The sequence below is a fragment of the Homo sapiens genome, chromosome 6, assembly GCF_000001405.40.
Source record: "Homo sapiens chromosome 6, GRCh38.p14 Primary Assembly".
In the NCBI taxonomy this organism is placed as follows: domain Eukaryota; kingdom Metazoa; phylum Chordata; class Mammalia; order Primates; family Hominidae; genus Homo; species Homo sapiens.
Genome location: NC_000006.12, coordinates 163919327 through 163931406, shown reverse-complemented (window position 1 = coordinate 163931406; position 12080 = coordinate 163919327). Strand labels below are relative to the sequence as shown.

The following is a 12080-nucleotide window of genomic DNA, read 5'->3' as shown; positions in this document are numbered from 1 at the left end:
ATATATATTTCTGCACAAAAATTTATTATTACTACAAAATCTGGCATTCCTTGTGGAGAAATAGGAATGCTTTTATACTGTTGGTGGGAGTGTAAATTAGTTCAACCATTCTGGAATACAGTGTGGCGATTCCTCAAGGATCTAGAACTAGAATTACCATTTGACCCAGCCATTCCATTACTGGGTATATACCCAAAGGATTATAAATCATGCTACTATAAAGACACATGCACACGTATGTTTATTGCAGCACTATTCACAATAGCAAAGACTTGGAACCAACCCAAATGTCCATCAGTGATAGACTGGATTAAGAAAATGTGGCACATATACACCATGGAATACTATGCAGCCATAAAAAAGGATGAGTTCATGTCCTTTGCAGGGACATGGATGAAGCTGGAAACCATCGTTCTAAGCAAACTATCACAAGGACAGAAAATCAAACAGTGCATGTTCTCACTCATAGGTGGGAATTGAACAATGAGAACACATGGACACAGGGCGGGGAACATCACACCCTGGGGCCTGTCGTGGGGTGGGGGGAGCGGGGAGGGATAGCATTAGGAGAAATACCTAAGGTAAATGAGTTGATGGGTGCGGCAAACCAACAAGGCACAGGTACACCTATGTATCAAACCAGCACGTTGTGCACATGCACCCTAGAACTTAAAGTATAATAATAAAAAAAAGAACCAATTAAAAAAAAAATCTGACATTCCTTTATCAGCTCCTGCGAGTCTGTGGTATTGCCTGATATCCTCAGTAAAGAGAAAGAGAGTTTTAAACAAAGGATAATGACCACTTTATTACTGAGTGTCTAAGAGCCATGGTGGGTTAGACTGGGAAGATAGGCTCATGCTTGCTGTGTCTGACCCTGGATTTAAAGAGTACACCCCTGGCTCCTACCAGACTTAGGGGTTTTGTTCATTTTTGTCTGTCTGCTTGCTTAACTGATTGCTTGATTATTTAAAGTTTTTTGGAAAATAACAGAGTCAACTATAGTCCTGCTATAAATCGCAGCCACCTTTTGAATGCCCTGAGGAGATTCTGAAAAATACATGTGTCTCTGGGCCCTACCCCAGACCTACAGAATCCGAATCCCTGGAGGAGCCAGGCACCGTGTCAAGCCAGCTCCACAGGTGACTGGAGAGCCCCCGGGTAGGGTTCTGAGCCAAGGTGTTACGTAAGGCAGGCCCATATTCAAATCCTAGCTCTGCCACTTAATAGCTGGATGACCTACAACTAAGCCTCTTAGAATCAGTTTCTTCATCTGCACAATGAGGATTACAAAGCCTACCAGGGCTGGCCTGAAGATTAGAAATTATGAACATAAAGAGCCTGGTATTGTACTCGGCAGTCATTGCCCAGTATTGGTAGCTCCACATCAAGGTTTTCGTGACAGCTTTAGTTATCCATCATCTGCAAGTCTATTTTTAAAGGAGAGCCCTACGGGGCTTCCGCCTCCCTCTGGAGCTCATGTCATATGTCCCTCTGTCTTAGCCTACACTCTAGCCTACCCGGCCTGCTTTCTTTTGCTCAAGCAGAATAAATCCATTCCCACCTGAAGCCTTCTCAGCAGCTCTCCCCGTTCTTACTGTTGACTCCTTCTCCTTATTTTAGTCAGACTCACATGGCCACCGCAGCACTCTATTGCATTACAGACAGCTGGTGTCTCTTGCAGTTCTGATGGCCTACAACTTGCATTACCCTGACTTCTATCTTGACTGTTGACTTCTCCCCACTGGAATAGAAGCTCTACTAGTACTGGGCACTTGTCTGCCTCTTTCTGTGCTCCATTCCCAATACCTAAACCTGGAGTAGAATAGAAACTTAATGAGCATTTCCTGACTAAATCTGTAAACTTGACAAATACTACTCATCCATAATCAATTCCTATAGTCATTTCTTAGACTTATCCCTCAAATTCTGATTATAAATCAAAAACTCATATTACAAATTCCAGGCATTGGGAATTCCTCCACAAATATAAAGAGAAGTCCAGCCATGTTTATATTCAAGAACTCAACCAATCACTTTTGCCAACAATGGTAATTCCAGAGTGCAGGGAAGGGCAAAAGCCACAAAAGCAAGAAGTGAAAGGAGAAAGCTCTCCTTAATTTTCTTCTTTCCTTTATAGCTTCCCTGTAACCTTTTCTTTTCCCACTGCCATCAGGCTTTTATAAACTACAGCAATGCTAATGGGTTTGCAAATGTCATAAGTGGTGCCCCCTGCCATAATGGCAGTGGTTCCTTGCTCGAGACAAGAACACAGCATGACCATGAGGATGCTGTAGGGGGCCCATCAGGACCTCACTGGAACCTTCTAGAGGCCTGCATCAGGAACCCATGCCTTCCAAGCCCACCGCAGCTGTTTGTTAAGCAGTAGCTCGTGGTCATATAGTCAGGATGCTTGGAGAGAACTGAAACCCCTTTGGAAACAGTAGCAGCTCCATACGGCTCTGTAAGAAACTCAGAGACCTGCTCTAGGCTCTCCTGCTAGAGTTCAGGGTCCTCTTGAGATTCAACCTGTGCTCTGGCCAGCAGAGCTAGGGATGAGAGAAAAGGAATTTGCCTTCAAAAAGCGATCTCTCTCTCACTTTCCTTAGTTGTATTTGTGTATTTCTAGTAAATTAGAAAAGCAGTAAAGCCCTTCAGCTTTAGAACCCAATCTGAATGATCACATTCCTAGGGGAGCATTTGGCATCCTGGAAGCATAGGAACCCCTGGCCTTGATTTTGGGCTGCTGTTCAGTCAGAGCAAGGCTTCTTTAGCAATGGAAACCTCCAATTCTGCATTGTGTGTGAGCTGCTTTATACCGATTTTTTTTCACATTTCTTATTGACTTTTTGTCAATTTAATTCTTTACCTACTATTTTTCTCTTATGATACGTCAACGTTTTCTGAATGACTCCTTTTTCTACATTGATTTACTTTTCTGGAAAGACTTCCTGTCTTTTCAACATGCTGCTTACCTATTTTTTTCTTTTATATTTTTTCTTTTATACTTTTCCCTGGTTTACTATAAAACTTTCTTTTCTTTTTATTGGCTTTGTTGGTGTCTGGTTTTAAAGCTTTTCTGGGGCTTTTAAAAGAATAAACTTGAATAGAATTTGGTATTTAATTGTATTCTCATAGCAGGTGGGCGTGTGACAAATGTGGATTTAGGGCCTTTCAGTGGAGGTGGTGGGGAGGAATACCCAAAGTTGGGCCACCCACATTATGTGTTTCATGCAAATAAGTCCTATATGTAGCTTTGTTTCAAACTATCGAGCAAAGCAGCAGGGATTATAAATTGCCCCACAGAAGGTGTCACTTTTCAGGTAGGCATTGATAGATCATTGGCTGGGGAAGAGCTGCCAGATTAAAGAGCAGGGACATGCAGATCACTGGCCTTCATGTGCATAAATGGCCCTAAGGTGTACAGCTGACCTGATGCATATAGCTGACCCCATGCATATAGTTGACCCGATGCATATAGCTGACCCTGATGCATATAGCTGACCCTAATGCATATAGCTGACCTGATGCATATAGCTGACCTGATGCATATAGCCGACCCTGATGCATATAGCTGACGCTGATGCATATAGCTGAGCCTATGCATATAGTTGACCCTGACACGTATAGCTGACCTGATGCATATATAGCTGACCCTGGTACATATAACTGATCCTGATGCATATAGCTCATCCTGATGCATTTAGCCGACCTGATACATATAGCTGATCCCAATGCATATAGCTGACCTGATGCATATAGCTGACCTTAATGCATATACTAACCCTGATGCATATACCTGAACCTGATGCATATAGCTGACTTTGACGCACACAGCCAACCCTGATGCATATATCTGACCTTGATGCATGGAGCTGACCCTGATGCATGGAGCTGACCCTGATGCATGTACCTGACCCTGATGCATACAGCTGACTTTGATGCACAGAGCTGACTGTAACGCATATAACTGTTTTCAATGCACATAACTGGTGCATATAGCTGACCCTGATGCAGATAGCAGACCTTGAGGCATATAGCTGACCATAATGCATATAGCTGGTCCTAATACATATGACTGACCCTAATGTATTCAGCTGATACTAATGCATACAATGGGTCCTAATGCATACAGCTGATCCAAACATATACCCAATTCTAAAAGCAGACAAAGAAGCCAATCACTGCTAAATAAACCACAACACGGAGGAAAGAATCACAGGAAAAAAACCCCAATTCTTACCATCGAAGTGCCACTGTAGAAGATTCTGTACTGCCTTGGTATGCAAACAAATGAATAGTTTTTGAAATTTTTCAAATGGAGGATAAATGAGGCAAGTGGTCACCATCTGGAACTTACCAAGGCTTTTTAAAAACGCTTGCCAAACAGAATCATTGTGAGCAACAGAGCCAGATCCGGCCCCTGGACCAGCCAGCCATCCTCCAGTGCCGCATTTAATATGTTGTGGGAAAAACGCTTCCTTCCCAGCAGAGGCAGCTGCCATCAGCCTAAGTGAGTCAACAATGGTGGAAACTGCCAAGTGGGCAACATCGAAGGCCATGTTTCCTCCCAGCCAACAGTGCTCCACTGAGCCTGGACAAAACCAAGGAGACAAGCCCAAGGGGCCCACTTATTTCCAAAAACATTGCAGCCCCATTCTCAGGAGAACAACCCACCCCTCCTAGCCTAATGGTGAACCCTTCCTGACTCCCCACACTCCCCCTCACAATGCTGTCAGCTCAAGGGGACACGCTGTGATTCCCGTCTCGGTCTGGAACCACATTACAGAGTTGATTTTCTCTTAGGAGACACAACCCCAGCATGTCAAATCTTCATGGCTCATTGTATCAAGTCCTGTTTCCAAAAGTGAAATACCCTAGACTTGCACTTTCCAGAGTTAACAAAAACGGATACATTTGGGCTACAAGGACAACTCATGGAATGTTTCTTAAAAGACATATAATTATGGCAGAACGAAACTATATGGTTACAGAAATTAAGCTTGGCCCTTGAAATTCTAGATAAATTAGGTTTCTGAGAGAATTTCTTACAGGATAAAATAAAGGATTTTCAAATGCAGGATGAAGTGAAACATTATTTCTAGGGAAAAGATTTTTAGTTTTGATATCTTATGTTGGTGTTGTTAGAATCATTTAACTGGTAATGGCCTGTGTCCAAATAAAGCAAATTATGCATTTAATTCAATTTAACGCAGCTAACCATTCTTGAGCACCTACTTGGTTTCGGGTTCTGAGGTAGGCAGTTTAAATCTATTATTGAATCTTTACCACAGACAAATGCAGTAGGCACTGGCCTGATTTTGCACAGAAAAAGACAGAGTCTCAGAGAGGCCTATAATTTGCCCAAAGTCACACAGCCACTCTGCAGACCAGCTGGAGTTGCCCTTGGATCTGCCAGAGCCTGTACTTGTCATGCTTTTCAGCACTGTGGCTCTCGGGCCTTATCCTTCACCCCAAGAGCTCACGGTGGCTATAAAGAAAGGGCAACCCAAAACTATTTAAAGTAAACAAACGAAGTGATTATAAGTTTAATGGTCAAAATCTATATAAAGAACTATAAAAGCACAAATGAGGGCTCAATTCATATACTTTTAAACTGCAATCTAGTCATCACAATTGGAAACACCCCGTCATGTTCCCAGGAAGGGTGTTGCTTTGCTCTCCATTGTTGTGATTGGTTGTCTTAGTCCCTTCAGGCTGGTATAACAAGACAGCACACTCTGGGTAGTTTATAACTACAGAAATTTATTTCTCACCATTCTGGAGGCTGAGAAGTCCAAGTCCAAGGCACCTGCAGTTTGCCTGCTGTTCACGCATAGACAGCTATCTTCTCACTCTAGCAGGAGGGGTGAGGGTCTCTCCTGGGCCTCTTTTCTTTTCTTTTTTTTTTTTTTTGAGATGGAGTCTTGCTCTGTAGCCCAGGCTGGAGTGCAGTGGCATGATATCGGCTCACTGCAATCTCTGCCTGCTGGGTCCCTGCTCAAGCAATTCTCCTGCCTCAGTCTCCCGAGTAGCTGGGATTACAGGCACGTGCCGCCATGCCCAGCTAATTTTTGTATTTTTTTTAGTAGAGACAGGGTTCACCATGTTGGCCAGGATGGTCTTGAACTCCCGACCTCGTGATCCGCCCGCCTCGGCCTCCCAAAGCACCGGGATTACAGGTGTGAGCCACCGTGTCCTGGGCCTCTTTTCTAAGGTGGCTTCACTTCATCCTCACAACCTAAGCGGCTCCCAAAGGCCCCACCTCCTAATACCATCCCCTTGAGGGAAGGATTTCAACATAGGAATTTTGAGGGGACATAAACCGCATTGGTATTTGGTTTTTACTTCGCTGTGTGCTTTGGAAAGGGAAAGGAACATCTCGCCCCATGGGTTGGCTGAGGCCACCTGCAAGGCGTTTTCAGGCAGCCTCAACTCCCTGAGATCCACGCCTCCACGGGGCCATTTGAGGGCTTTAACGCCACATAAATGTACATAATTCACCAGTGGGAGAGAGGCACCGTCATGAAGCATTCATGGACCCTTCACTATAAATGCCATCACATTGGCCAGCTGCACAAGACTCAGAGATGCTGCAGTTCCGTTGGAAAAAAAATAAAACAAAGGCCCAAAGTTTGTTTTGAAATGATGTTGAGCCTCTTACCAAGAAACCATTAATAACATTATTTCTTACTTTTTAAATACCTTACAGGTACAGCTCCCAAAGCAGTCAATTGTCTGGCAATAAAGCGTGATGGGGCGTGTAACAATTATGTAACAGCTGCAGAAACCTCATGGATATAATTGAGTACCTTCTACCACCCTAGGATATAATAAAAGTAAGATTTAAGTACATATCAATAAAGCCGACAGAGCAACACCAGAGCAGGCCTTCTTCAGCGTAACGCCACTGATCAGCCTCTAAAGGAAACGAGGAGATATAGAAAAGAGTGGAGAGGAGGAGTAATGGGAGGAGGAAGAAGTAGAGAAGGAAGAGGAAGAGGAAGAAACAGAGAGGAAAGGGGAAAAGAGGAGGGGAAGGAGAAAAAGATAAAGAAGACTCGTTTGCTCTCCTGCAGGCATGATGCAACAGCAAACACCAGCCAGCCTCCTCTGGACTGAATTCAGGCCGGGAATGTGGGGGTTTCCTGGGCCTGCAGCCCGCCGGGCACGTTCGACCCACATTCTGCTGTGTGTGTGCGCCGTGCGACACGTCACCCTCCCATCTTTGCACATGCCCTTGAATATTTCTGTGCTTCTGATTCATCTGGTCCACAGTTTACACCTTGAGGTAACTAATTCTGTCTCTTCGTTTTGCTTCACAAATGAAGGCTCATTTCTCCTTCACTCCATTTCCATTTGAGACCTACTTTAGTATGTTTTTCTTTCATTTTCTCTGCAATAATCAGGCTCCCTTTGCTCAAGCATAGTTCTTTTACCAAGTAACCTTTCTCTGCTCTCAGATTTGTCGTGATCGAGGCTTGAAGCCAAAATGTTGCAAGGTGATATTTTAGCTTTCACTGATACACTGAGAACCAGCGCGGTACAGAAACTGCTTCAGTAAGTGAACACAAGACAGGCTCAATCTGGCCTACTCTTGTTGATGCTAAGCTTAGAAGAAAGAGAGAGGCAGAAACTGAGACAGAAGGACAGAGAGAGAAATGCTCTGTTACTCTGAATGTTTCTACTGATTCTTTATGATCCACCAAACTTTTCTCAAACACCCTTTAAGATGATGTAGATAAATTACAAGATGCCGAGGAGGACCGACGCTCTTTCAGAAGGCGCCTCTCCAAGCCTTTCTCCACTTCAACTAAAGAACGTGTTTCAATGAGTCTGCGATCTCGGTGGCCTCTTATTACTGTCATCTCATTCATATCCAAATCAGGAAACCAGAGAAAGTTCTGAAATGAGGGGCCGGCGTTCTTATTAACGCCAGCCATGGCAGGCACTGGAAGGAGCTTAAAAAGAGGTGGAAATCACCGGTTTCCGAAGAAGTCAGCTCAGATGAATTTTGTTACTTCTCTTTAAGTGAGATTACGTGCGGACTAGGGGCTTTTTCCACTTGAGCCAGGTGCCAACGGGATATGAGGGTGCAGGGCAGAATAAGAGCCCAGCGTTGGCTTTAAAAATGAAGCGGGAGACTGAGGAAAGGACGCTAGGGCCTATCGAGGAGAAAAACACTTGTTCCTTAAGTAGATCGTCCATAGGAAAAGAGGCAGTTTCCTCTGCTGGGTGATTTTGAAGTGAGAAAACATCTAAAACTTCCAAAATGTTGTTTGGAATTGATTTGTGCATAGGTGCAATACTACTAAGCCCACTTTTGGGCCATAGCCCTACACTAGAGAGATACACTGAAAAAAAATTTAAATAAAAAATCCTGGAGTGCAATATCCTGTTGACCCAACCTGAAATAGCAAAGCTCTTCAGCCAATCCCGTGAGAGGTGCTGGGGTGTGTGCACAGTCAGGGAAGCTCCCTTGCTACCATTTCCATTCAGTCACTTAGAAGCTGGGCAGGGGTCAGTTGGGGGGGAATGGCTGTGTTCATTAGAAATTTCAAATAGCTGCATACAACAGAAACCCTCATACAGCAGCTGAAACACATGGGGGTGTACGCAGCACACACTTGACATCTGCAGGTGAGCTGCTGAGTGCTGCATGGTGGCCCCGCCTACTCGCTCTGTTCTCCTCAAAGGGTTGCTCCAACTAGAGCTGCATTCTGACTTTTGCTAGCCCTGGGCACTTTTGCCTTCATGAATCCTCAGGTAAATATTAAAAATGATATTTTACGGCTATATTGGTATAGACAGGCATATTAATATTATGGTAAAACATTTTCTTTATTCATTTTTTTCCTTCTGATTTTAAAAAGAATGAAAACTTTTTCAGAGCCCCTAAAAGTCTTTTGTGGATTCCAGGCACTGTGCTTCCTGTGCCCAGTGGCTAAAAAATCAGTGAAGAGGACACGGAGAACCCAAGGGGAACACCTCCCCGTAGGTCAGATCTCAGAACGCACCTTCCTGGAAGACCCAAATTCACTGGCGAGAGCTTCATCAGATGACCACCGAGAGTGGCAAAAGAGTCTGGGCAGCTGATTTGGTTTGGCTGTGTCCCCACCCAAATCTCGTCTTGAATTGTAGCTCCCATAATTCCCACGGGTTGTGGGAGGGTCCCAGTGGGAGATAATTGAATCATGGGGGCATTTTCCCCCATACTGTTCTCATGGTAGTGAATAAGTCTCACAAGATCTGATGGTTTTATAAGGGGAAACCCTTTCACTTCGTTCTCATTCTCTCTTGCCTGCCGCCATGTAAGACATGCCTTTCATCTTCTGCCATGATTGTGAGGCCTCCCCAGCCACGTGGAACTGTGAGTCCATTAAACCTCTTTTTCTTTATAAACTACCCAGTCTCAGGTATGTCTTTATCAGCAGCGTGAAAACTGACTAATACAGCAGTGGAGTCTTTATTCTAAGTGCACTGTGAGTATCTGATGGGCACTAGGGAACTGGCAGAACCTGGCAAAACTGCCAATCAAAGCTGATGAATACCCCTCTTTAATGACTAGAAATGGCTTATTCCAAAGCTGGGCATGGTAGCATGCGCCTGTAGTCCCAGCTACTCGGGAGGCTGAGGCAGGAGAATCATTTGAACCTAGGAGGCGGAGGTTGTGGTGAGCCAAGATCACACCACTGCACTCCAGCATGGGCGACAGAGCGAGACTCCGTCTCAAAAAAAAAAAAAAAAAAAAAAAAAGTGGCTGATTCCAAATAGTGAGTGAGTGATTAATAAAAGCTGAATCTGCTAGACGTAGTATTCGAGGTTTCTGGCAAAGCAGCCCCTACAGAAATAAAGATCCCCCCTGCTTATTTGCTTATGCCCCTAATTCCTGAGCAGGAATTTGATTTTAGCCTAAGACACGGTTGTACATTATTTATCCTCGTTATCCATGTTCACCTGCCAAACCTCGATGCTGATGCTTGTAGTCCTTTCCCCACCTGATTTCAAGGCTCAATTCAATTATCTTCTTCTCTAAAAGCTGATCCTAATAGCTCTCTGCAGTTCCCATCCCACCTCTGCATGACAAGTGAAGTCTCTCATTTCTCTCCACCAAGCACTTTGTAAATAATCTCTAATAAAATATTTATCTAACATATAAGCATTAATAAAGAGTTGTTGAATAAATAAATAAATGGTGCATTTAACGAGTTATTCATGTGTTTGTTTCCTACCATCAGCCATGAACCCTTTGAAGACAGTCTTATTCTCAGGTATATCTGTGTATCTACAACATCTAACAGTGTTTGACACAGTGTAGGTACTAATGTTCACTGAATGAAAAAACAAAATTCCAACAGCTTAATAAGAAATAATCCACCCTGCTGAAATTTGTGACGGGCCAAAATGCCATTGTTCTTTTTCAGCTTTCAAATTCTTGCCAAAGAAAGAATGTGAGGTGGAAGTGATCCTCCCTCTGAGAGCAGGAAGTGATCCCACCTCTGAGAACAGGAAGTGATCCCACCTCTGAGAGCAGGCCCACCTATGGAAGCTGGCACAAAAATCCACGCTCACTGCCTGGTCATGTAACTGACTTGGCCAAGTTTGTACTGCTTCCAGCAATTCAGGGATCTTTGGAGTAGAGGTGAAATACAAAAAATAACGAGGTAGGGATTTTAAAGCGCGCAAAGGGAAGACTATCACCTTCTTTAAAATATATATTTGTACATTTTCTCTGGTCATCCTTTAGATGGGACCCCTCTATCACTATACAGAGGACAGCAACAAGGATATCTTAGTGCAAACTCCATACTTGGCAAAATGAATTTAGAGCAAAGATAAGTTAAGCACCTAGCACAGTGCCCTACACAAAAAAAGGTGCTTGACGGAATCAATGAATAAATGGTAATTAACAATCCATAAAGTAATCTGTTACTTTTTCAAAAGCACTGACAAGTAGATTTCTTTCCTCAGGCCGCTTTAGGATAAATTTAAGCGATTTAATTTATAAACAATCCAATTTACGCTTACTTTTCAATAGAAGAATTAATTCTTAAAGCCAGTTATGGCTGTAGGTGTATCAGTTTAAATTCAACGAACTCCAAACCCTAAATACCCGTCAATGCCATGATGGCAAAACGGAAGGATGATGGTTTTGACCAGTTCCCAACCCGACGGGTGGGTGGGGATGCGCGAGAGGCCGCTGTGCACTGGAACAAGGTTCAGCAACAGGTAACAGGTCACGGGGAACGTGTGCTTTGAAACCAAGAGGCAGAAAACCGAAATAGAAAACAGATGGACTGTCAGAGGATTCCATTTACCCACAGAGTTCAAAGGAAGTGATATGTTCATCAGGTTCCAAGGCAAGACCTCATTAAGCTACAAACCCTAGAGAAATAGGCACATAGAAACACTTCATTCTTAGGAAGCTAGAGCAGGTCAAACTTCTGTTTACAATCTATAACAAAATCTTGCTTTTTCGGATGAATATTTACCTGATTAGCAAGCAGAGGCCGTCCTTGTTCTTTGGACTTCAAACACGTTTCCTCCTTGGAAACTCCGGCATGTGTGGAATACACCAAATTCCTCAGCCAGTGCCCACGGGGCAGGGCCTGTCTTGACAGTCACCACCCAGGTGGACTTTATTTTTCAAGCTTTTACTTCAGGGGGATGCTGGGAAAATTTGTTTAAAATCGTCAGTTCCACAATTGCAATCGCTTGCAATTTAAACACGTCTCCCTTAAATAAACAGTCTTGACTCAAAATTCTCCCCTTCTCTTTTTCTTGTCATTTGCTCCAATCTCTCATCTTGTGTCCAACGAGACGCGTACTATCCTGGCATCAGAGCAGGGGCTTCTGACCCCTGTGCCCTCCGGCCTCCGCTGCCCCTCCTCCCCTCCCTGCCACGTGCCCTCCGGAACCGTAGATGTTGAACTGTGGCACCTGCGGAGGTTTCATCTGACCTGCCCGGCTGCCGGGTCTTTTTCTCTGGGACCTCATCAAATCTCTCACTTCTGGTCCTAACCCCAGGCAACTCCCAATCCGCTGGGCTTCTCAGTATATTTTTAGTCCCCCTGTAGAGA

The 12080-nt window shown here is 44.0% G+C and overlaps 1 long non-coding RNA gene across 1 annotated transcript in view; it reads right to left on the bottom strand.

Moving 5' to 3' along the window:
• The window catches only part of LOC105378102 (uncharacterized), a 155467-nt gene that overhangs the window by 127560 nt on the left and 15827 nt on the right, over nucleotides 1-12080 (bottom strand). The window contains exon 4 of the long non-coding RNA XR_943213.4: nucleotides 11493-11670. This is a non-coding gene — a long non-coding RNA (uncharacterized LOC105378102). The remainder of the gene's footprint in view (nucleotides 1-11492; nucleotides 11671-12080) is intronic.